The 27,500-nt window shown below is 36.7% G+C and overlaps 1 protein-coding gene and 1 long non-coding RNA gene across 13 annotated transcripts in view; one reads left to right on the top strand and one right to left on the bottom strand.

The window, feature by feature from the left end:
* The window catches only part of SNCA (synuclein alpha), a 114,206-nt gene extending 107,982 nt beyond the window's left edge, over positions 1–6,224 (top strand). For 9 of the 12 annotated variants that reach the window (NR_164676.1, NM_001146055.2, NM_001375285.1 and 6 more), the window contains 2 exons: positions 1,046–1,129; positions 3,663–6,224. Coding sequence is in view for 9 of the 12 variants with exons in the window: in NM_001146055.2 (NP_001139527.1) it covers positions 1,046–1,129; positions 3,663–3,695 (117 nt within the window). In the remaining 3 variants the exon portion in view is untranslated. The remainder of the gene's footprint in view (positions 1–1,045; positions 1,130–3,662) is intronic. The other 3 variants (NR_164674.1, NR_164675.1, NM_007308.3) reach the window with 2 other exon arrangements.
* LOC124900602 (uncharacterized) overlaps positions 4,191–27,500 on the bottom strand; it is a 44,628-nt gene continuing 21,318 nt past the window's right edge. The window contains exons 2-3 of the long non-coding RNA XR_007058466.1: positions 10,250–10,497; positions 4,191–10,050 (exon numbers count right to left, since the gene is read on the bottom strand). This is a non-coding gene — a long non-coding RNA (uncharacterized LOC124900602). The remainder of the gene's footprint in view (positions 10,051–10,249; positions 10,498–27,500) is intronic.

Here is a 27,500-nt window from a genome sequence, read left to right as displayed (position 1 = left end):
TTTTCTGACCATGTATTTGATTATTTTCCTTCAATATGTATAGTCTCAGTCTTCAAATTTCAGAAAAGAATTTGTTTCTTCATTGTCATTTAAAATTAATGTGTTAAATATGTATGCTTTTACATTATAAGTGGTTATAAAAGTTAAACACTTAGAAAAAAAGTCAAAATAACATACATACTATCCAACAAAATAACTTTCATATTTTATTGTGTTTTCTTCCAAACTTTTTACCTTTGCGTCTGAATTCTGTGTAGGTTGTATCTATAATATAGACAACACTTTATAGCCTGCTAAATATTATACCATAAATAGGTAGTTGTTACATAATTCTCAGGTAATAGTAATACAGGTCTTTATCATAATCTACTGAGTAGTTGAATGATAATTTTTTTTAAGACAAGGTCTCCCTCTGTCACCCAGGCTAGAATGCAGTGGCATGCACATGGCTCACTGTAGCCTCTACCTCCCAGGCTCAAGTGATCCTCCTGCCTCAGCCTCCCAAGTGGCTGGGACTGTAGGCATGTGCCACCATGCCCAGCTATTTATTTGTATTTTTAGTAGAGATGGGGTTTCATTGTAACAGCCCAGGCTGGTCTTGAACTCCTGGACTCAAATGATCCACCTGCCTCAGCCTCCCAAAGTGCTGAAATCACAGGAGTGAACCACTGCACCCAGCAATAATTTTTTAACTCTTCATTATTCATTGAACATTTAGTTAACAATTCTAAAAATTTTGTTTCCTGCTGTCATTGATCTTGTGAAAAATATCTTTGGACTATAGCTGTGGATTATTTCCTAAATAGTAAATTACTTGAGCAAAAAGTTTACATACTTTGAGGGTTGATAACCCATGTTGCCGCAATGTTTCCCCGGAGGCATTGTGGAGTTTAGAATGCCAGTAGTAATATTAAGGTGTGCCATTTTCAAGATCCGTGGCCAACATCCCTATATGTAAGATTTTTCCAAAACATGGTTCTGATTTTTAAAAGTGAAAAATGCTACTTCATCATGTTCTTTTTGTGCTTCTTACTTTAAATATTAGAATGAAGAAGGAGCCCCACAGGAAGGAATTCTGGAAGATATGCCTGTGGATCCTGACAATGAGGCTTATGAAATGCCTTCTGAGGTAGGAGTCCAAGCTGAATCTTTCTAACAAGACAGTACCAAAAACCTGTCATTGTCACATTTCTCTTTCATTAGTGCTTAGTGAGAATCATTTGCTCTCTACATGCTCATTACGTGGACAACTTGCAAGTTAAGAATAGTTTTTACATTTTTAAAGGGTCCTTAAAAAAAAAGAGGAGGAGGAAGATGAAGAAGAGGAAGAAAGGATGTAAAAGAAATCATATGTAGTCCACATAGCTTAATATACTTACTACTTGACCCTTTACAGGAAAAGTTTACTAACCCCTGCATTAGAGAATATATTTTTAGAAACTTTACATTCTAAAATAAATTTCTAAATGGAAAGTTAGGGAAATCAATGGAATGCCAAAGGAAGGTTATTATTTTTTGCCATACATGTCCAATGGGATGACGCATAGTAAAATAAAAGTTACCCACACAAGTTATAGAATAAAAAGATAAATGCATGATTTGCGACAATTGATATATTCCAGTATAATGTTTTAAACAACACAATATGATTGTTAATTTTATTTTGATTGAAAATGAAAGTATCTTTAATAGAAAATGTATCAAAAGGGAAATTAGAAAATACTGTTAGATGAATAAAACTGGCCCAAGAAGAAACAGTAAATCTGAATAGATTTGTAACACAGCGAATAGATTAAATTAGTAATAAAAAAAAAAACCTACCTGCAAAGAAAATCCCAGGCCGAGATGGCATCACTGGTAAATTCTACCAAACATTTAAAGAGGAATTAATACTAATTAGTTAACACCAATTAATATCTCTTACAAAACAGAAGAGGAGACATTTCCCAACTAATTTTGTGAGACCAATATTACCCTGATAATCAAAACCAAATGAAGATATCACAAGAAAAGAAACTATATAATGGCTCCATTAAAAATTGAGTTCAAGTATGTTGTAGTTTGGTTATGTATTATTCCTCACGGCATTATTAAAAGGCATGTCGAGGATGGGCACAGCAGTTCACACCTGTAATCCCGCACTTTGTGAGCCAAAGTGGCCAGGTTACTTGAGGCCAGGAGTTGGAGACCAGTCTGGCCAACATGGTGAAACCCCATCTCTACTAAAAATACAAAAATTAGCCGGGCATGGTGGTACACGCCTATGGTTCCAGCTACTTGGGAGGCTGAGGCATGAGAGTCACTTGAACCCAGGAGGCAGAGGTTGCAGTGAGCTGAGATGGCACCCCTGCACTCCAATCTTGGTAACAGAGCAAGACTGTCTCACACAGACACACGAAAGGCATATTGATAATAATTCAACTTATAGAAATTGAGATTAAATTGTTTGTTTGCCTAATAAGAATTTCCAATATTTTGGGGTCTTTTATGCAAGACACAGTACTAAACACAATGGAAAACTATAGAGTAATTGACATTACCAGGACATAAGGAGTTTACAGTCTGGTAGGTTTGATGAAAAAAAATAGAAATTCATTCATTCATTTCTTCATTATGATTCCTTTAACAAACATAATTGATTGTCTTCGATGTACCAGGCATCACAGGAGCAAAAATATATAAGACATACTAAAAAGTAAAACATTTTAAAGATCTGTTTCAATCAATCAGGAGAAGTTTTATTGAGGAGGTAATGTTGATCTGGGTGGGAAAAGGTAAGAGATATAGTAGGTCAAAACAAACAGAGGACATTCTGGCACAAGGGAATATCAGAAGCAAAGGCATGTATGTCTGAGCATGCAAATGGATATGTCTGAGAACAGTGAATAATTATGACTCAAGCTTAGGAACAAGGAAAATGGTGATAGATTGAATTTGCAGCTATGGGTCAAAGACAAGTTATAGAGTATTAGGATAATCTTGTCATTTCAGCTTGTATTCTATTCAGAAAACAACTTGAGTTATTGAAGTTATGCTTATTTGTTTGTTTTTAAGCAGAATCCTGATATTATTAGAGTTGCTCTTTAGGAGGAATAATCTGATCCCTTTAATTAAATCCATTAATATTTGTGTTGTGGATGCTATCCAGATACTGTATGGAGAGCTTGAGGTTTGAAATACAAGTAATAATTGAAGCCATAGATGAAGACGAAATTTTCAACTGGGAGAGTGAAAGTAGGGAAAATGTATCTTGCCTTCAAACATCTTAATTTCCTTCTGAGAATTAGAGCATCTTAGTCTGGAAAAGGCTTTATAGACAGCTTGATTTTGTTCTCACATTTTACAGGTGAAGAAACTGAGAACCAGACAGTCCAACTTATTTGTCCTACCAAACTAGGTATATGATCATTAAATGGTGCATCCGGATCAGAACCTAGATATTTTAACTCTGACTACTACTGTAATTCACTTTTATATCAGACAAGAAAGACACAACTATTAAAAATAAGATAATATTTGCTGCAGAATATTTGCAAAAACATTGATTGTAAATTTTAGTGTAAGTGGGGAGCCATTTCCTATCTCATTGGCTGTCAGTGCTGATGCGTAATTGAAACTTATACTAACAGTGTGTGCTGTCTTTTTGATTTTTCTAATATTAGGAAGGGTATCAAGACTACGAACCTGAAGCCTAAGAAATATCTTTGCTCCCAGTTTCTTGAGATCTGCTGACAGATGTTCCATCCTGTACAAGTGCTCAGTTCCAATGTGCCCAGTCATGACATTTCTCAAAGTTTTTACAGTGTATCTCGAAGTCTTCCATCAGCAGTGATTGAAGTATCTGTACCTGCCCCCACTCAGCATTTCGGTGCTTCCCTTTCACTGAAGTGAATACATGGTAGCAGGGTCTTTGTGTGCTGTGGATTTTGTGGCTTCAATCTACGATGTTAAAACAAATTAAAAACACCTAAGTGACTACCACTTATTTCTAAATCCTCACTATTTTTTTGTTGCTGTTGTTCAGAAGTTGTTAGTGATTTGCTATCATATATTATAAGATTTTTAGGTGTCTTTTAATGATACTGTCTAAGAATAATGACGTATTGTGAAATTTGTTAATATATATAATACTTAAAAATATGTGAGCATGAAACTATGCACCTATAAATACTAAATATGAAATTTTACCATTTTGCGATGTGTTTTATTCACTTGTGTTTGTATATAAATGGTGAGAATTAAAATAAAACGTTATCTCATTGCAAAAATATTTTATTTTTATCCCATCTCACTTTAATAATAAAAATCATGCTTATAAGCAACATGAATTAAGAACTGACACAAAGGACAAAAATATAAAGTTATTAATAGCCATTTGAAGAAGGAGGAATTTTAGAAGAGGTAGAGAAAATGGAACATTAACCCTACACTCGGAATTCCCTGAAGCAACACTGCCAGAAGTGTGTTTTGGTATGCACTGGTTCCTTAAGTGGCTGTGATTAATTATTGAAAGTGGGGTGTTGAAGACCCCAACTACTATTGTAGAGTGGTCTATTTCTCCCTTCAATCCTGTCAATGTTTGCTTTACGTATTTTGGGGAACTGTTGTTTGATGTGTATGTGTTTATAATTGTTATACATTTTTAATTGAGCCTTTTATTAACATATATTGTTATTTTTGTCTCGAAATAATTTTTTAGTTAAAATCTATTTTGTCTGATATTGGTGTGAATGCTGTACCTTTCTGACAATAAATAATATTCGACCATGAATAAAAAAAAAAAAAAAGTGGGTTCCCGGGAACTAAGCAGTGTAGAAGATGATTTTGACTACACCCTCCTTAGAGAGCCATAAGACACATTAGCACATATTAGCACATTCAAGGCTCTGAGAGAATGTGGTTAACTTTGTTTAACTCAGCATTCCTCACTTTTTTTTTTTAATCATCAGAAATTCTCTCTCTCTCTCTCTCTTTTTCTCTCGCTCTCTTTTTTTTTTTTTTTTTACAGGAAATGCCTTTAAACATCGTTGGAACTACCAGAGTCACCTTAAAGGAGATCAATTCTCTAGACTGATAAAAATTTCATGGCCTCCTTTAAATGTTGCCAAATATATGAATTCTAGGATTTTTCCTTAGGAAAGGTTTTTCTCTTTCAGGGAAGATCTATTAACTCCCCATGGGTGCTGAAAATAAACTTGATGGTGAAAAACTCTGTATAAATTAATTTAAAAATTATTTGGTTTCTCTTTTTAATTATTCTGGGGCATAGTCATTTCTAAAAGTCACTAGTAGAAAGTATAATTTCAAGACAGAATATTCTAGACATGCTAGCAGTTTATATGTATTCATGAGTAATGTGATATATATTGGGCGCTGGTGAGGAAGGAAGGAGGAATGAGTGACTATAAGGATGGTTACCATAGAAACTTCCTTTTTTACCTAATTGAAGAGAGACTACTACAGAGTGCTAAGCTGCATGTGTCATCTTACACTAGAGAGAAATGGTAAGTTTCTTGTTTTATTTAAGTTATGTTTAAGCAAGGAAAGGATTTGTTATTGAACAGTATATTTCAGGAAGGTTAGAAAGTGGCGGTTAGGATATATTTTAAATCTACCTAAAGCAGCATATTTTAAAAATTTAAAAGTATTGGTATTAAATTAAGAAATAGAGGACAGAACTAGACTGATAGCAGTGACCTAGAACAATTTGAGATTAGGAAAGTTGTGACCATGAATTTAAGGATTTATGTGGATACAAATTCTCCTTTAAAGTGTTTCTTCCCTTAATATTTATCTGACGGTAATTTTTGAGCAGTGAATTACTTTATATATCTTAATAGTTTATTTGGGACCAAACACTTAAACAAAAAGTTCTTTAAGTCATATAAGCCTTTTCAGGAAGCTTGTCTCATATTCACTCCCGAGACATTCACCTGCCAAGTGGCCTGAGGATCAATCCAGTCCTAGGTTTATTTTGCAGACTTACATTCTCCCAAGTTATTCAGCCTCATATGACTCCACGGTCGGCTTTACCAAAACAGTTCAGAGTGCACTTTGGCACACAATTGGGAACAGAACAATCTAATGTGTGGTTTGGTATTCCAAGTGGGGTCTTTTTCAGAATCTCTGCACTAGTGTGAGATGCAAACATGTTTCCTCATCTTTCTGGCTTATCCAGTATGTAGCTATTTGTGACATAATAAATATATACATATATGAAAATATGTATTTGGTTTCTGCCTCCAGTTCTTACAAAGAGCTCCTAAAACCCTTGTAATTTCCTGAGTAGTAGGGGTGCTAGGGTCATCTTTTGTTCTAATATTTGGTCTTTGACTCTGCTTTCTGACAGAGCTCCTTAGTCCCTGGGTGAGAGTAGCATCTTCTCTTCTAATGAAGTGACTCTTGCTGGGTTCCTGGATGGGGGCTGGTCACCAGAAAGGTCAAGCCATGATAAGAAGCTTGAAGCTTTTGGCCCCATTCACATCTTCTGGGGACGGGAGAGAAGAGGAGCTGGAGATTGAGTTAATAAGCAACAATGCTTCCATGATGAAGACTCCATAAAAATCCCTAAAAGACAGGATTCAGAGTGCTTTGAAATAGGTGAACATGCAGAGGTGCTGGGAATTGTGGTGTGTCCAGAGAAGGCATGCAAGCTCCCCACGCCTCCCCCATACCTTTCCCTGTGCATCTCTTCCATCTGGCTGTTCCTGAGTTGTATCCTTTTATAACAAACTGGTAATCTAGTAAGCAAACTGTTTTCCTGAAGTCTGTGAATCACACTAGCAAATTATCAAACCTGAGGAGAGGGCCGTGGAGACCTTGGATTTGTAGACAAGTCAAACAGAAGCTATGAGTAACATGAGGACTCATTGCTTGTGATTGTCATCTTCAGTGGGAAGGGGAAAAATCTTGTAAAACTGAGTCCTTAACCTGTGGGTCAATGCTAACTCCAGGTAGATAGTGTCCGATTTGAATTACGGGACACCCAGTTGGTAGCCACAAAGAATGGGAGAATTGCTTGGTGTAGAAAACACACCCCACACACACATGTGGTGTCAGAAATGAACCGGAAATATTGTGTTCCGGAAATATTGAGTGTTGTGAGTGAGTGTATAGAAAGAAAAACAGCGTTTCCTTTTCACTACTAGATTAAAACAAACACACTCATGCATTCACACATCTCAAAGACAACTATTAATTCTCAAAGACAGTGCTGTCTAAATCCATACTGAGGAAGAAAACACATTTTCTTTTCAAATCTGTAAACCTGACAGACTGCCTCTGTCCACACACTAATGGAACTCTGTGTTTCATCTGAAATGTGTTCATCCCACTTTGTTCTTTCTGTCTTGGGCAGGGCAAGAGTGCAACAGGGCTGACATTTTCATATGAGCTCTGTCCCTGTTATTGGCTATACTTTAGACAAATTATTATGTGTCAAATATAGATGTAAGTGATTTATCAATATTAAGTCATTTAATTCTCAAAACAACCTTAATAGGTTCCATTATGATTCTAATTTTACACATAAGCCAAAGGAGGCACCCACAGGCTAGATAACTTTCCCACGGCCACACAGCTAGTAAGCGGCAGAGCCAAGAGGCCCAACATTACAGCACCACAGTCTGTGCTCTCAGCCCCTTGGCCACATAGTGTCAGAGTGAGGACACACAGCTATTTAAGAAAACTTCCAGAAGTCTAGGAAATGGGGTGATAGCCCCACTTTTCTAGGTATAATAATTAGATATTTGTTTTTCTTCAGGTACCTAAAGAAAATTTACTAGAGTTTGAGCCTTTAGTAAGTTTTGCTAGTACATCTGTTTTTCTTCAGGTGCCTGAAGACAAACATATACACACACACACACACACAAACACACACAAAATGTGTATCTATATATATGTGTACACATATCTCTCATCTCTATATATATGTCTCTGTATATCTATATATCTATAAACATATCTATATCTATAGATACATATAGAGAGATTTCTTTTTTTTTTTTTTTGAGATGGAGTCTTGCTCTTGCCACCTAGGCTGGAGTGCAATGGCACAATCTCAGTTCACTGCAACCTCCGCCTCCCAGGTTCAAGCGATTCTCCTGCCTCAGCCTCTCGAGTAGGTGGGATTACAGGAACACACCACCTTAGCCCGACTAATTTTTGTATTTTTAGTAGAGACAGGGTTCACCACGTTGGCCAGGCTGGTCTCAAACTCCTGACCTCAGGTAATCCACCTACCTCGGCCTCCCAAAGTGCTGGGATTACAGGTGTGAGCCACCATGCCTGGCCAAGATTTCTAATTCTAAGAGAAATTAGCACCTGATAGGTATTTCCTTGTAAATAAACCGGGCATATCCTGATTATAGAACTAAGTTAATTATTTTCCGTGGAAGATACGAATGTTGATGCAATAAGAGCAGCAGTCTACAGTAAGGTGGGCTTTGTAATTTTCTGTGTTGAATCATGGCATGGGTACTTGGCTTATGTCAAATAGACAAAAAAATATAAATTAAGGTATAACTGGGATTGTCAATTATACATATTTAGTAATGGAATGAATGAATTTATAAATAGATAGTAAAGGGCATGAATTAAGAATCTATAGGTATAAATAATATTAGCAACTTAATATTGTATAATAAAGTTTGATTTTCTAGGTGTAGTTGATTGATGCAGTAATGTTCGTTTTATCCTTTGAGTAAGCCTAGAATTGAAGAACCCAAAATGCAATAGAATAGATATAACATTGAAACTATTCCTAAATATGATTTTAGTTCCAATGTTCTTTGTGTAATTACCTAAGCTTTTCTTTAATGTTTTTGCTGCTACTACAGTATCCTTAATTATTTGAAATCTTATATTGGAAGCAGTTAAACCACATTCCTTCAAAGAGCCCTTAGTTTGAGCCTCTAGTAAGTTTTGCTAGTATAATTTGGTTTTAAAATTGGCTAGAATTGCATAGGGAATTTCCATAACGTATAGTTGATCTGCAACTATAGGTTAACATACTAGGATGGCTTCTCTTATGAACCTTATGAAAATACATCCTCAGATTCCCTGGAAGGTCAGTGACCAGAAATCCTCGTTGTTTCTATGGCAACACAGCAAGATATGGTGCCTTGGAAATGTGCTGCATTTTAATTAGGTTCCTCTAGGGCTTCCTAACTGCCTTTTGCAGGTAAACTAAATATCAGATTGCCTTTTATCTTGCAACAAAATGAAACCTAACCCATGTCTGTAAATGTCAAAGCTAAGCTGTGTTCCAGTAAAGCTGAATCCAAACAAATATAGTAGCAAGTCATGTTTTTATCTTAGAAAAGAATACAATACTCTTTACCTAGAATAGTCAAGGATGCTGCTTAATGAGGTAGGTTAGAGTAATAGAGACTATCCTGAACTCCAAAACTATTAATAGACTATGGAACTTCGACTCCCATTTATGTCTCTTACTACTTAATATTAGTGTCTCTGTTTCCTTATATGTAAATATGCAAATGATAAAAATAGTGCCTCATAGCATTGTTGCATGCATTAAGTGAGTTAATGTAAGTGGAATACTTAGGACTGCCTGGCTGATAGTAAGTGATCTATGAGTCAATGATGCTATTTATTAGTAGTAGTACTAGTACAGCACACTGTATTTTTAAAGGTAAATAAGAAATAACAATTTTTTTAAATGTTCATATACATTCACATGTCTTCTTTTAATATAAAATAGCAATCAAGATCAGGATAATGGTAGAGATATTTTGGAGACACAAGGCAGAAGCTATTTACTAATAGCTAGGGGAGCATTTTACTAGTTTACTAACCAATATTACTATACTTATGTGTACTTAGCAGAATATCACCTAGCACCAAAAAGAAATTAAGAAAGTGTAACTTACTGAGAAGTGAATATGCACCAACTCCATAAACACTATGTTTATGGAACACATCTAACTTTAGACTTAGCTATACTCATCGACTCACATATCTTCTCATCCAAGTGGGATGTGTTTAATATTTACCATATATTCATAAGTTCACTGAGTATTGTTCTGGTAACTAGAAAAAAAAAAGGACAAGCATATATAAGTAAAACTCACTGATTTAAAACAGAGTATTATCAACTACAAAAGAAAAAAAAAACCACTTGAACCTCCACTGATTTCTCAAATCTCATTTATTTCCCATTATCTTCCCTCATACCTCTTGCATTTATTTGGTTAAATTTCTTTTTGATCCAAAAGGAAGCAATGTTTACCTGACAATTTCTACTTTATGCCAGAACAACAAATGTACCAGCAATTACAATATTTCCAAGAAAAGTATTGTTTGTTTTCTCTTCATGTCTTTGGTGAGTCTCTCGGAATTAGGATCAAAAAAGAACGCATGAGCTGGTGAGATGTTTGTTATTGTCCTCTGTCAGATTTTCCTGTGCAGCAGTGTGGAAAGTAGGTAAGTAGGGCAGTGCATACTTGTCCTTTTGCCTTCTGGACACTGTACGACTACCTAGGAATTGAGAGTAGCAGAAAATTATTGTTGAATACTACGTTTCCTAACAAAATCAACTCTTGTAAAAAAACAAATGAAGACTAAATATGGACAGATGAGCCTCTAGAACGTACTACGTGTTGTGTAAGGCGTCATCCAAATCTCTATGGAAATGGTCAAAGCAAGTTTTGAGAGGCTGCCAAACATTAGTAATGTGGCAGCACTGACTCCTGCTGTTGAAGATGGAGTGTCCATGTTGAATGATTAGAAATCTGGCAAGTCTTTTTGGCAAACTTCCTTGGAAATCCATCTTGGGCATCCTTAGCTGTTTGTGCCATCCTTTAGCTAGGTTAGGCCACTTGTCTTAGATCGATGGGCAAAAGGGTAACAGCTGAGAAAAAGACCTTTCCTACAATTTTCTTGATCTCATCTAAAGCAAAAGAAGACATATCTCTGAAGGAACTGTAAATTATGTATTGTTAACAACTGATTCTGAGCTCTGATTATCACAGCAATGTTTGGAGGTGAATACTGGTGGTTACTTGGTGCCATTCTAAGAAGGAGTCCAACACAATCCAAAGTTATGTTTAAGAACAGCTCTGTACATCAATATTATGGAGTTTCCATGGCTGTGTTTTCACTGCCCATGGTGAGAATAGACATTCAAATGCTACACTGTGTTGGTTTTTGATGATCAGACCTACTTCCAGGCTGTTAGGTATAGGTTTTAGTCATGATTTTCATGCCAATTATTTCTGGACATGTCAGAAACAGTTCATTTGAAGTAATTCTTTCTGGAATAACAATGATTTCCACACTACAGCCCCCTTTTATAGATGAGAACTCATATTGACAGTCTGCAATTGACTGAATTTCTTTTTTTTGAGCAGTATCTTTTCTGACAAATCATTCCATCCAGCTCCCATATACACCCAGCAGCAGTGCAGGAAAGACTGACCTGTAGTCTTCATATATAATTATGGAATGTGTTCAATATGAAAATGTTAATAGCTAATTTTTAACACTTGATATCTATATGTTTCTGACTTCCGAATGCATTTTTTATTTGTATTCCACTTACCCACAAAAAACTGACCTGGCTTAAAATAAACACACAAACCACCAAGCAAACAAAAAATTACACTGGACTATGAAATAAAGCTAAATTTTTCGTAAGTGAGAAATCACTTACATATATAATGAGGAAATGAGACTACTGAGAATATGGTACAGAATAATGTAGTTATATCCTACACTTAGATCTAAGTTTCTTAGTAGCCAAATCTATAAGAGCAACACAAAGATCACATAGTTTTCAATGTCTGTAGAAAGAACCCATTTGGCTATTGTTATTGTTTGTGATTATTATTATTATTTTGCATTTATTTTTCCAATTTAATATTCAATAGCAGCTTATTACCAAACAACTCTTTTAAAAACATGACAGTCAAATGGCAGCCTTCCAAATCATAATTCCCTCCAGTCAAAGACATATTCACAATTGGTATCTCTTCCGAGGAAGAAATAGTGGCAGTCCCAGGACATCCTCGTGATGGAGTACTGAATAAGCTATGGCATTTTCCCTTTTAGTGCAGGCCCTGCACAGGATGGGCGGAATAGATAGGTACAGTTTGTCATTCTTCTGTGTTTCTAGAAGCAGCTAGCCAAAGTTTGAGGGTCTGCCTACCCAGTGACAGAATTAAAAGCATTCCTTTTCCTTAGGAGAAAGGCCCAGTGGAATGATCTGTACAAACGGTGAAGGCATCCCACAATATTCATGTATAGAAGACTCAGGTGCTTGTAGTACAAGATATGTTAGGAGAAAAGACCTTTTGAAATTTACTCATCTATGGGAAGAAGGAAACGCTGGGAAGAAGTCCAGATATAGACAACAGGGAGACCATACAACAAATGACAGTACGCTGAAGGTCCAACAAGAAGGAGCTAGAAACATGCAGGAGAAGCAGCACTGAGAACAGGGAAACAAGTGCTATTCACCCAGGCAGAGTCAGGGAAGATTGAAAGCAAACAGCACCACCCCTACCCAAGTCAGGGGTTTAGCAGTGAGATTCTGGAACCTTCTGTGAATTGGCAAGACTAAAATTAGACTACAGGCCAAAAGACTAGCATCCTGAAGAGATTAACAATAAGCTCTACTTAAAATACCTTATCACCATATCAACTAGCCCAAAATTTCAGCCTTGACTCACAGGCATTTGGCAAAAGAATAAGCAACGCTCTTACCATGCTATTGAGACTTTGAGAAATTTTACATTTTTAAGAAAGGTTGGTGTTGCTGTTGAGAATTCTGTTTAGAACCAAATGTTTCCATACATATCTGAGGCCAAGGTGAAGCAGAAATATGAAAAATGCTATTTTGCCAGATACTTGGGCCTTGCATTCTCTAAACTGCATCGCACATTTCAGTTCACTGTTTTGTTTTCTTTCACAGAAAAATCAAAGCACTGAAACATACAAATTCCAGGAAGTAAATTGATTGGCACTGTGCATTCTGAAAATCCTCAAAGCATACATTTGAAAAAGTTTAGGTTTCTAGGTGGAGTCGTGACTGTATTTACGTTGCCTGTGGCTACCTAATTAATTTTCTTCTTGGTAGATGTGTTCATGCTGTTCAGTTCAGACAGGAGTTGAGAGTGAGATTGCCATAGGGAGATTCCCCAAGTGACAGCAAAGAGAGTACAGTTTAAAACAGCCTAGATTGTTAAAAGGTACAAAAAAAATTAGAGTGAGACCAGATCAAGATTTAGGATCTAACAGAGATGTAGGAAGAAAAATCAGTCTAAGCAGTTCCGTACGTCAGGGTCTAGCAAACCATTAGTGCTGACAGCTCTCCCAGAAGACTCATCTCCTCCTTTTGTCCCCCATCAGCCCTTTCCAGTGATAAAGAAGCCCTGCCGCAATGTGACCCCGAAGCTGCAGATTGTCTGAAGATCAAAGAGCCACATAGCTTTATAGCTGTCTAATGCCTTTATTTTATAAGTAAGCGAACACCCAAGATTACATAGTGCCTTGTCATTTTGGATAGAATTAAAACAAATCTTCAACCAATAATTCTTTACTGCTCCAAAAACTATTATTGGTGAATTGCATCCTAAATCTGTAGATATATTCCAGAATATATCTATAGAAGGAACACAACATGTTAACACTAAACCCCAACATACGCTTGAAGCATAATAATGCTCCCATTTAAATATGAGCAGTTTTCCTATATAACAAATTAAGGATTCACTACTTCCTGCTCCTTTGAGCCACTGTATTACCCCTGCACCTTTCTTATTGCTGTGGGAAACAAGGTACTTTTTAAGTAATCTAAGAAAAGTACAATAAAATATATATACAAATGTATAAGAAAACAAACACAAAATTCCACGTCTAAATATTTAGCACAAAAAATAAGAACTTAATATTTAAGTTAAGAACCACCAGTATACCCATGCAAATATAATTTCATCAAGTTCCTTACTGATTACGTTTTTGAGCCCTCACATTACAATGGCTAGTAGAATCTTGCTTAGAGTAAATATCTGCATGAATGTGCAAACATCATTATTAGATGTTATTCTTAAATACAAAATTTGTTATACTAGATATATTAAGATTGAGATGAAAAGAAACCCATTTGTACATTCACTAAAATTTTTTAATGGCTAAAAAATATCATTCAGGTGTACAATTAATTTCTTATAAGTATAGAATAGATGACCTTTCAAGTGACTGCCATCAAGTGCAATGACATTTACTCTTGAAATGTTATTTCTCTGTTCTTTAAACCATGGCCAAGTTGTCTTGATCCCTTAAATAAAGAGACTATAGGTCACTGGAGGGAAAAAAAAAAAGAGGTGAGTTCTAATCATTGGGAAACAACAACAACAACAACAGCAACAACAAAAATCCTCAGTCATCTCAGGACACCATCAGCTTAAAAGAAGACAGCACTTTTTTGGGAGTATGTTTGACATTTTCCACATATTTCAAGAAGGTCTTACTGATCTAAAATTGTAGCAGATGGAGAAGCAGCAGGTGTGAACTCAGCAACTATACAAGAGACAAGATTCCAAACTAGGCCAGCAACTTACGGTCTTTCACATTTGAGGTGAGGGAATGGATTTACTTTAGAAAAGATATAAAAGTGTGTGTGTGTGTGTGTGTGTGTGTGTGTGTGTATAACATGCATTAAAAGCTATGTTAGTATCTTTCTATAAGACATGCCATGGATCTAGAGCCTAGGAGATGGATGATAGCAAAATAAATAAAACAGAGGAAAGACTTCTACACCAAAGTTAAAAGAAGAAACCTAACTCTGTTTACTGTCCAGACTAATTCAAGTTACTGTGCTTTTTCAATTTATATTCATTTTTAATTATTTTCTTTTTTTATTATACTTTAAGTTCTAGAGTACATGTGCACAACGTGCAGGTTCGTTACATACGTATACATGTGCCATGTTGGTGTGCTGCACCCATTAACTCGTCATTTACGTTCGGTATTTCTCCTAATGTTATCCCTCCCCCATCCCCCACCCCATGACAGGCCCCAGTGTGTGATGTTCCCCGCCCTGTGTCCAAGTGTTCTCATTGTTCAATTCCCACCTATGAAGGTTATTGTGCTTTTAACCTCAGGAATATGCTTCTCTAAAGGCAAATTCTTACTTATTTTGACAACCTCTCCCCAAATACTTGCCCTGCCCGTTATTTCAAAATTATTAAAAAATAAAATCATAGCTATTTTCTCAATCAGAATCTCTGGGTTCAAGTTTTAGCTCTACAATATTCTAGCTACGTGACCCTAGGAAATATATTAGCCTCTGAAAATTAGATATAAATTGGAAATTAAAACATTCACGCTACTTTGTTTTAAAGATTAAATGAGATCTACTATAATTATATTAACGCTTAATAATACCTAGTATTTCTTTATTTCCATTTTCTCATCTTCACTGGTGTAAGAAAAGTCAAAATCTTAACAGCAAGATGTAATAGAATTAAAGTGATATTAATATTTTTTAAAAATATTCAGGTCAAATAAATATACGTTTGGGCTTTTAATATAGTAATTCCTTATATTACTATGGTGACTATTATAAAAAAAAGAGGAGTCCAGGCGCGGTGGCTGACTCCTGTAATCCCAGCACTTTGGGAGGCCAAGCGGGGGTGGATCATGAGCTCAGAAATTCGAGACCAGCCTGACCAACATGGTGAAACCCTGTCTCTACTAAAAATACAAAAACCAGCCGGGCATGGTGGCACGTGCCTGTAATCCCAGCTACTCAGGAGATTGAGGCAGGAGAATCACTTGAACCCTGGAGGCAGAGATTGCAGTGAGCTGAGATCACGCCACTGTACTCCAGCCTGGGTGACAGAGGGAGACTCTGTCTCAAAAAAAAAAAAAAAAAAACAGAAGAAAAAATTTTCAAAAAAAACTTTGAGCAATAAGATCTTAGTGCAAAAGAAACCAAATGAAAAGTGTTTGAAATAAAGTTTCAATCTTTATTACCAATGCATAAATATCTTTCTGTACTTTATCTTGGAGAGAATTTGATAGTTTCCAAAAAGCCTTTTGATTCGGTTAGGACATACACACAGAGATTGAAATCAAATTGCAAAGCAACATCTATTTATGTATTTACACCATCCTAACTTACATGGAAGAAAAAGGAAAGTAATAGAAAAGCTAAAAGTACTACATTCTTATACATATGTTTGAAATAGACTGTACACAAACTAAATATAATCTGCATTTCTTTTGGCTACAACAGAGCACTAAGAAATGTTTTACAGACTGTTCAACTGACTCAATGTTATACTTTTAAATATCAGTGATATAAACAGAATAAGGACATTCTAATATATCTTGGAACTTTATCCACTAAAGAAATGCATTTAAGATTTTGTGTTCTAAATACTCTATTTTAGAATACAAACAAGCAGGGAAAAGCAATCTTGGCTTCCTCATTCTTGGTTCTTTGATAATATCTATAACTTTCCACTTACAGTTTGATTCAAAAGGGCCATGACAAAGGTGAGAGGCACATTCACATTAAATAAAGGGCAGTAGCAAAACTTTGCAAAATTCAAGTTGTCAACAGCTAAATATACCTTATGGTAACAGTCCCTAAAAGGAAGCTAAATTTGTAAGCGAACCACAAGGTTCAAGTTTTCTGAAAAAAGAGCCAATGGTGGATTTTAAGTATCCTTAAATAAGATGTAACTTCTTGCATTTTATATAAAATTTAATGTCCATATGTCTACATAGCTTTTTCTAACTAAAAACATCTATATTCTTCATCCACTTCTAAAGTGGATGTAACCCAGAATAGGTTAAGAAGCTATATAAAGAAGAATAATATTGTGTAATTACTAGAAGCATCTCAGAATAACTGACTAAAACCTTATTTTCACAAAATATATTGCATAAAATATCAGTTCCTGGGGAGTTAAACAGATACGTAAAAATTTGATGAATAAATTAAACTTCTATACTGCAGGATTTTTCAGAGCTATTAACATTTTAATGAGCATTGTTTGTCTCCACGAGTGTGATACAATAAGCAGTTTCACAAATTCGCCTACCCAAGGAAGTTTTCTTAGCTCACAGTGTTGTATGGCTGTGATAGTCCAAGGAAACCGCTTGGAGAAACGGTGATTTAAGACTGCACTTTATGACCAAACATTGAGTGATAGATAATCAAGTAAGGATTTTATAATGAAATTCAAACTAACCAATTTTTAGTGAGTAAAACAGCAACTGTGCCTTTGGAACCATGCTGTTCTCCAATGAGCAATAACCATAATCACACCGCTAAGTAAATTGACTGGCAGGTCCCAAATGGATAAATACTTCTTCACATATTCTTAATCGCTTGGGCAAATTACCTTTAAAGAATACTTTGTCTAGCTTTGTTGTCCCAAAGATCCTTATTATTTCATCCCTAGCTAGTTATCTAGTACACATAAAAAATAGAACTAAGAACAGCAAAAATGGGGTGGAAAGGATAAAAGATAATGTTTCAACTGCAAATTCTAGGAATTACAGTCATTGATAAAATTGTGTATAATGTGACAAGTATAGCCGAGAGCTGTATTTTAGCTTCAGGATTACCAGAATTTGAAGTTTAATCCACTGTTAACCTATGTTAAAACAACCAAAACCAAAAAGAAAGAAATGATTAGCAGAGAATCAAACACGCTGCTGTTAGTTAAACTTGAGTAATAGTGAATTTTCATTGTCATATTGCCTAAGACCTAAACATTCTTTGTAACTGCTTCCAGCGTGATTTTAAAAACCTGTAGGTCTGATGTTCTTTATAAATGAATAGGAAACACATTTTATTTCAACTAAAATCACAGCTGTAACCTAAAGAGAGAAAATGAGATTGCAGGTCGTCCTTTTCCTTCCTCTTTATTTTATCAGCTGTTCAGTTATATCCACCAATTCCATTTAAGCTGACAACTGGTATTTTTCTTTCATTCTCTCTACTCCCACTAATATTATTTTAGCTTCTGAGTTCTCTCCTAACGTCACCAACTTGTTTTTGCCTACATCTGTTCTTCATTAGCCTCCCAGAGAGGTATGTTTTCATTCAACTTTATGGAGTATTCATGATAAGCATGAGACTGAATATTATGTGTTTCTTCCAAGATCCAAGGAAACTGACAATCTCTCAAGGGAGCAAAGGACAAAAATACCTGCTACTTTATCATAGAAAAAGATAAATTTTTCAATATGTGGCTTTCAACGTAGTAAATGAGATATGGCATCACTAACTTGATTCTTCATTTGTAAAATGCTATTTTGATATGGCCTAAGTGTTGCTATGGAAGCTGATATTACTCCTCAGTTGTAAAAGGGCAAGAGACTGTACATTTAAGAAAACATTATGAACATTTTGGGGAACCTATATTGTTAAAAAAAAGCTCTGTTTTAGACATGCAATAATATTTAAAGTGCTGAGCTGATATTTACAATATTTTGTTCTTTAGCAATCATCTTTCTACACTGCTAGAGCACCGAATTATCAAAAATTAATGTGGTACACCGAGCAGTGGAAATGAGCTTTCTAAGAATATAGTTGTCTAAAATATAGTACTTGAATGTATTTAAAATTAAGTTCACTATAGTTTGACAGAATACCTTCTGTATATTTAGATTAAGGGCATATTCTCTCAGCAATATTATTTTGGTAAACTGTAATATTAAATAAGACATTTTTGGAATGGATATTTGAAATTTTGAATGGATACTTGAAATTTTGTGTCATTATGGTTAATGCAAACATTTAGTCTGACTGCAAATTTTCAGAGAAAAATATTTGTTCACTTGTTGGTAGGCAGGAGAAATGTAAAAAGATATTAATGTTTATAATGTGAAAATATATTTATATGCTTAAGGTATACATAAGGTATTAGCTGACAAAAGTAGACTTAAGGTGATAACAGACACCAACTGGAGCTAGATTAAACAAATAAACATATTTTTTAGGAAGATGTTGTCACATCTCACAAAAGCTAGGCTAAAGCTGAAAGACCCAGTCCCAGATAGGCTGGTATCAGAGCAGGTTCCAGGTGTGGGAATTCATAGGCCTCAGGGCCACTAGCATTTGCAATAAAACTGAGCTACCAGAAGCTCCCAGCCTCTGGTTTCTCAGTTCAACTTTCTAAATTCCTAGGATCTTCTGATTGCCACAGCTTAAATAAGCCATCCATATCAACCCAATCAACTGCAGCAGGTGAAGCAGGTCATATAGCAGTGCCATGGCTGGTAGAGACCCACCTCACTGTAACAGGGACAGTTTCCAGAAAAGTAGAACTCTTGACAACTAGACACTAATCCAAGAGTTATTCTACAACTCAAATGAGTATGATCATTTATCAAATTAAATTTCAATGACTATCAAAGTTGATGACTGCATCTTTCAGATTTCATTTCATTGGTATCCATTATGAGTCATGCTCAATTCAATTTTATTAGAAAATATATGCATGTGCGTGTATGTAAACATGATAACTTTGCCATGTAATTAATATGGTTGATGCTAGTAATGTTTACACAGTTGATTTAAAATTAACCTAGCGCTCTTAATGGAGATTATTTTATAATATGTGGAGAGGCTTCTGCCAAGAATGTTAGTGTCTACTTCCAACAAGCTTGAACAGAAGAGGTGCAGCCTGGAGCCATCTAGATTAGACCCCCAACACATCAGATTGGCTTGAATAAGTCAGTTTTAGATCAGTTTTAATGACTATCAGAGTTGATGGCTGCATCTTTCAGATTTCATATTTGTTTGCCAGTTACAAGCCGGTTATCCTCCTACTGGGCAATAAACCTAAAGGGCATATTCAGTCTTCCTTGGAAGTACACAGAGAGGAGTATTACAAAATGTATTCAATTTTATTTTTATGAGGATGCACTTTGATTTTTAAAAAATCTCAACTCAATTGGCTTAATTTTTTTTCACTCCATGCATTTGCAAAATCTGGAATGTAAATGTAATCATTCAGCTTGACTGAATTTTATAGGAAGTGTACAACTTAGTTGTATGAATAAAAGAAGAAAATAACCTTTCTACATACTGATGCATTTATTAGAAATATATGGGTTCGATGCCTTTTTAGAAATAAGCTGGGGTTTCCTTCTGCACATTAGTAAGTATTAAGAGAGGCTGTTTGTTTGTTTGTTTGTTTGTTTGAGGTGGAGCTTCGCTCTTGTTGCCCAGGTTGGAGTGCAATGGCACGGCCTTGGCTCACTGCAACCTCTGCTTCCTGGGTTCAAGCAATTCTCCTATCTCAGCCTCCCAAGTGACTGGGATTACAGGTGCCTGCCACCATGCGCAGCTAATTTTTATATTTTTAGTAGAGACGGGGTTTCACCATGTTGGCCAGGCTGGTCTTGAATGCCTTACCTCAAGCGATCCACCTACTTTGGCCTCCTAAAGTGCTGGGATTACAGACGTGAGCCACTGTGCCCGACTGGTATTAGAGTTTTTTTACTGCTCTCAGATTAAAGGATTTTACTCTGTTACTAACTGCACGTGATGAAGTTAATAAAGAAGTTATTTGACTTGCTTTCCAGGCAAGTTGGTAATCATGTGTCAGCCGTATTTGCTTTTAATATTTAGAACTTACCAAGAAATTCAGTGACAATACAAGTGGCACACAAGGGAGCAAAGAAGACACTGAGTCCTTCAAATTACTACTTAATGTTTTTGATTTTTAAATAACAAAAGCCATAGTTACTCTTCTGCCCACCCTATAGTGGCATAATGAGGTGATCAGTAGAAATTGGGGGGTGACTCTTTAGGATTACTGTTAACTGAGGAAAGATCTGACTTCAGTGGCTCTTGTGAGAGACCTCTGTGGTCAAAAATAGCTAAATTTGTCCCCTCCCGCCTCTGAAAATAAGCAAGCACATAACTCCTTTAAGGAATTCCCTTTGTTGCATCTTGGTAGTGGAAAATGGAGAACAGGAAATTGCAAGATGAAGAGACAGGCTGTCATTGTGGGAGCAGCTGACTGCTGAGCTGTGGTAACATAAGTGGGGCTCAAGCAAGAACAGAGATGACAGAAAATACAACAGAATCCTTTGTACATTCAGAGGAGCTGTTAGATTCTGGGCCAGACACCAGCAGTGCATGTAAGACAGGAAGTAAGCATGGACGTCTGAGAGATGAAAACCTTGCTGTTTTTTATACTGCCACATGGCATGTGTGGAAACACCAGGGAGCTCCACAAAACTCCATTTTCCTCATCCTTCCTTTCTTTGGGAGAAGGAAAACATACTTTGAGCCCTTGACCCTCACCCTCAAGGATGTAAACAAGTTAGAATAACATTCCCTCTGTGATAGCATGCCACGCTGCCTTGAAAGGAATTGCACTGGGAATGAAAGGCAGAGGTTTCTGTGAGTAGAGATAAGGGAGGCTGTGAAAACTGAATCCATTATGTTCCACTGGTTGAAGCAGCATTACTGGAATTTCACTGGTATCCCTTCTGAGTCATAATCAATTCAATTTTATTGGAAAATATATGCCTGTGTGTGTATACAAACATGATAACTTTGCCATGTGATGAATATTGTTGATGCTAGTAATGTTTATACAGTTGATTTAAAATTAACCTAGAGCTCTTACTGTAGCTTTTTTTATAATATGTGGAGAGGTTTCTGCAAAGAACGTTAGTGTCTACTTCCAACAAGCTTGAACAGAAGGGGTGCAGCCTGGAGCCATCTAGATTAGACCCCCAACACATCAACACATCAGATTAGCCTGACCAAGTCAGTTTTAGATCAATAATAACTGTTAGCTTACCTGTGATCTATTTCTTATTGTGAATCAAATTCATCCCAGTGGACAGAACCCAATTCCAATGTCAGCCCTTAAAATTAGCTTCATTCTATTTACACTATATTACAAGCAACCAATTATTGTATTTAGTGAAAGTCATCACACAGGCCATAAAAGAAATCTAATATTTATATTTTCAATAAATAGAGTAATTACATTGTGTTAGACACTAAACTAAGTACTTGCAACTCATTTTGAATATTGCCTGGTGGAGAAGAAATGTATCAAACAAGAAGATAGAATGAAGTTTGATGCTACTGATGGTTATTAGCTTTCTTATTTGAAATGGAACAAAACACCAGAAAATGGAACTGCACAGGCTAGTACAACACATCAGGCTTTTGAGAGGTTCAGTGCAAGTACTAATTATAAAGACAATGGAATCAGATGGCTCTTGCTGAGCATAACTGATGCATTGGAGGAAGACACCAAAAGGTTGAGGGTAATTAATCACACCTCAAAAGCAAAATGTGAAAGTCAGAGGTCCTCGTTGGCAGCATATAAAGTAACTGTTATCTTTTACAGCTATAGACAGACAGAAAAAAACAGAGGATCAGGGCCAGTAGCAGAGCACCAGAGAAGGCTAAAGTCTCAACTGCATCAAGCCAAGGCTCTTGTTGAAAAGGGGTGAGACTCTGAGAAGTGCGACGGTGCCATGTGGGTAGACAATATTGAAGCCCCAGATCCTCTCGAATTCTCTGGGTTTACAGGAACGTCCAACTCCTTCCAGCTAAATACTATCACTTTCCTCCTGTTTGAAGACAATGCAGCAGTCTCTAGCTTGCAACCCCACCTAAGAACCTAGCCACACCTCCTTTCCTAACCACCAGACCAATACGTAGCATCAAACCACAACATTAACTGGCTAGTGAAGTACTGAGACAGAAAGGAGGAAATGGAATAAATGAACTATATCCCAAAGAAGCTCCATGATCCAGGCAACATATACCAGTAGCAACCAGAAAATGATGTATAGGACTAGATCCTGCAGTTGCTGGATTAAGAGACTGGAGGATGGGTGGAACAAAAGTCTGAATAATGAGGAGTTTATTGACATAGTAGTATTCTCCCACAATACCAGGTCTAATTACCTGGCAAGCACACCAAGATATTGTGCTAATATGCTGGTTGGATTTCACTTCGAGGTTTTGGGGGACAGCAGTGGCCCATAGTAACTGAAATATAAATGGAGCAAGTGCAATGGCAGATAATGGAAAAAGGCATGCTACAGTGAATATTAATGTAAGCTTAGAAAATCTGCCATCTGAACACGTTCCACGGGTGGAGTTGAAGGACACTTCTTTTACCAAAGTGCTAAATTATGCTCTGGTGAGAGAGGCACCAATATCATTGAGAAACTCAGTAGTGACTGTTCCTCTGTTGGTAAAGAAAAACAGCAGGAGATTCTGTTACACAGCTGGACTCAACTGTTACACAGCTGGACTCAACTGTTACACAACTGGGCCAATAATATGATTTGGAATGACAGAATTCCAAAATATAGATATGAGGTGGTGGCATTTTATTGTCGAAGCAAGGAGGTTACAAATAATGCAATGAGCAGCCAGCCATGGTGGCTCACGCCTGTAATCCCAGCACTTTGGGAGGCTGAGGCGGGCGGATCACAAGATCAGGAGTTCAAGACCAGCCTGGCCAAGATGGTGAAACTTCATCTCTACTAAAAATACAAAAATTAGCCAGGCATGGTGGCGGATGTCTGTAATCCCAGCTACTCAGGAGGCTGAGGCAGAGAACTGCTTGAACCTGGGAGGCGGAGGTCGCAGTGAGCTGAGATCGTGCCACTGCACTCCAGCCTGGGTGACAGAGCGAGACTCCGTCTCAAGAATAATAAATAAATAAATAAATAAAGCAATGAGTTTGAGCAGCAAGACTGGCATGACAATCTGGGGTCCTGAACCACAGGACACCATGGAAATGGTTAATAAAACATAGCTTCCTAAGGGCAGATAGATTGTAACCTAAAATGAAACTGCTCAGTTCATATAACCAAAATAAATCAGAAGTAAAGGCCGAGGGCACCAGGACTAATGAAATGCTTCAAATGGTTGTCTGTTTCCATATCTGAGACAATTTTCAGATCTGAAACATATGAGCTGAAGGGCAAACTGGGTTCTCAGGAGGAAGAACCCTGCCTGAACAGGCAAATGGACAAATATGTAGGAAAGTGATTCCCACAGTCTTTCTACAAAGGGGCTTATAGTTATTCATACAAGGAACCATACACAAAAGAGGAATACAAAATATTAGTGTTAGACACTAAGTTGGCTTAGACTAAATCTAAAATGCTCACAAATGTAGAGTATATAATACATGCAATACTGTCATGGGTTGTCACACAGTGAGTCCACAAGGTCCCCAGAACCAACCAGTGGCCATTTCTCTGATCTTGGCCCTGACTATGTAATTGGTGTAGACATACTGGATTGATATTAGAACTCTCACAAGTGTTTCTGTCCTGATTGGGAGAATACATTGTAGTGAGGAAGGCTACATGGAAACCTCTGAAACTCACCAACTCCTTTCCCGCTGGCTGAGTTAGTAAATAAAAAAACAATATTGTATCTTGAAGACAATGGCAGAGATCAGTGCCACCTTTAAAGGCTTAAGAAATACAAAGGCGATGGTCTGCATTATATCCCAAATTAGTTCACTAGTCAACCAGATAAATTCTGTTTGCTGTACTGGATGTGGAATAATTAACATGGGCTCAAATACATGGAGTGCTGTATGGCCATTACTTGGGCAAATGTCTTTATTTCCATTCCTGATAAGAAGAAGGACCAGAATAAGTTTAAATTCATTTGAAACAGACAGCAATGTACTTTTATGGTCTTCCCATAAGCCTGTGTGAACTCTTCTGTCGTCAGTCCTAACATAGTCTGAAAAGATCTATACTGTCTAAACATTTACAGAATATCATATTAATCCACTATATAGACAACACCATGTAATAGGACTAGATGAGCAAGAAGTGGCAAATATGTTAATAAAATATGATTTTGGTTAAACACATGACTTCCAGGAGATGGGAGATAAACCCCATGAAGAATCAGGACCAACTGCATTGGAAAATTTGAGAGTCCCAAAGGTCTGGGCAATATTTGGACATCCCCTTGAAAATAAATGACAAATTATTGCATCTCACACATCCCACCACTAAGTACAGAGCATCTTGGGGTCCAAGAGACAGAATAGTCCACCACTGGGAATAGTACTCTAACCTTCAGCAGATGGCATGGAATACAGCCAAATTTGAATAGGATTCAGAGTAGAAAAGTACCTTGCAGCAGATTCAGGCTGCTATGAGAACAACTGTACCATCTAGACCACAGTGTTGTGAAACAACTAATATTTTTCATTTCTGCATGATCCAGGATTTCTGAGTAAAGGATGATTGAATAGCAACCTGAAAGATAAATCCTCCCTGGAGCCATTTGCTTATATTTCAAAATGGTAAAGAAAAGCTAGAGATTTCCTCTTCCTCTCCCTGGAGAAGATTTGTCTACATTGCAAAGCAAAAATCCTTCTCTAGGGAGGAGGAGGAATAGATGCACCAGATGCCCTACTTAAGCTCTGATTCTCATAATTTTTGGATTCCTCTTCTGTAGCAAAACCTCTATATGCGCAGGTGATATCTGGCCCTCATTGTGTTGCCCAAAGGAGAACTGGGGCACTGCTGAGATGATCTGCAAATAAATGATGTGTTCTTTCATCCAGAAGTAATGTCTCAGATCCTTCACAGTTTCAAACTTAAAATTGTTATACATAATTTGTGGTGGAAAAACACATGTTGTGTGGAATTTCGCACAAACCCTAGTAGGAGTTTCACAGCATAAATCCTAAGGATTCTGGAACATGACCATGTCATCTGCAGTAGAGAATTAAACACCATTTGTAGAACATCTCCTGGATTGCTCCTTAGCCATAATAGAGATGAAGAGAATACAGCTTGTTGGCATCAGCCGTGAAGATGCATGACAGTTTTATGAGAAGGCTGATGAATAAGGGTCTGAAAATGATGATGAAGAGCACAGAGTGTTCAAATCCTGCCTGTCAATGCTAAGAGGTAAGAAATGGGAGAATACATAGCCTTGCTTGAAAGAAGAAAATGTTAATCAAGGTCTTTCAGGGAGAATGAAATTTTATTTAAATCCAAGATGTGCAAAGTACTTTGCAAAGAGTTTAGTCATCTCTAGAGCTCATTAATCATGGAATGGTGGACTTAGAGAAGGAGTTTAGAAGGATCAGAAGAGAGACGGGATCAAGGAACAGAAGGAAAAAGCATTATTGATAGGAGAATAAGACAAAACAACTCTTATCCCAAAAGAGTCTACACTTGAATGATGGTTGAAAAAATAAGGAGGTGAAGCAGGTTGATGTTGGGTGCCAAAGAGAAGCGCAAGATAGTCAGCGATGAGTAATGCAGGTTTTAACTGTCATCAGGGCGGGAGGCCAAGCAATAGCAGCTACAGCATAGTGGGGTGATTTTCAAACGTTTGATGGCTGACAGTGATGGCAAAGGCAGTGGAGGAAGAGATTCCCCATCTCCTCTGAGATCTACAGGAACCCAGCTGTATATTCAATTCAAACAAACATGCCTATTTTCAGAGAGAATTTACAAAATTCTAGGAGCCTGCTAGGCCTATAGTCTCCTTTGAAGCACAAATAATTCTGTTTTTGGGCTAGTGTGATAAAAGCAAACAAACCTCAATCTACTGGACACTGCTAAAGTAACTGTCTAGGTGGAAATGCAGAGACCACTGTAGATGATAATGAAGCTAACCCAATCAGATTTGTGGGGAGAAACTATGAGAGGTCTAGGTACACAGGAGAGGCCAATGTCACTGGCCTTCATGCTGTATCCCTGATGATACTAATTTATTATCCCAGGGCTATCTGAAGCCTACTGTACTGAAAGGCTGAATGTCTGAGGAAACATCATATGATAATAATCCCATATCCATTTCCCTATGTGCTTACCTTCATTGGATAGGTAAACTAGGTACCATTCTTTCCTATTAATATAAATAATTTTGCTACAATAGCTAACTTTTCCCGAGGGCTTAAATGTGCCTAACACCGGGCATGGTTTATAAGCTTTATTTAGTTTTATACTTAAATAACTCAATTTGCTTGGCTCTGTTATAATAACCGTTTTTGTCACAGAAAGGAAACCAAAGTTAAAAAAAGGTTAAGTAACTCGAGTCTCACAAATGGCAAATTTTGGAGCTTGATTTCAAACTCAGGTGGTTGAAATCAGAGGCCCTGCACGCAACCACTAGCCACATTGGTGTTTCTCTTTTCACTTTGCTTATTCCTATCCATCTTCCCTTGGGATTCTTTCCATTAGGACAGTTGAATACATTTGTTGCAGTCATAATATTATGTTTTCTCAGACAGTAATAAGTAAAGTGGCAGACAGAGATAACCAAAAGAAAAGGAAGGGGGCATTGGTTAAAGTGAATGGAGTAAATTCATTTAGAAAGCAAATGATTTTTTGGTCAAAGTGGCAGAAAGTGGAAAACAGTTAATGCTTGATAAAATCTATTTATAAATCTGCCTTTTATTCACTTAATTCTGAGAGATTGAAATTGAAATATAGTTGATATTTGACACATAGTTGAACAAGTGGAAATGAAT

This window comes from Homo sapiens, chromosome 4, assembly GCF_000001405.40.
Source record: "Homo sapiens chromosome 4, GRCh38.p14 Primary Assembly".
Classification (NCBI taxonomy): Eukaryota; Metazoa; Chordata; class Mammalia; order Primates; family Hominidae; genus Homo; species Homo sapiens.
The sequence above is the reverse complement of the archived record's forward strand: the minus strand, read 5'-3'. Positions and strand labels throughout refer to the sequence as shown.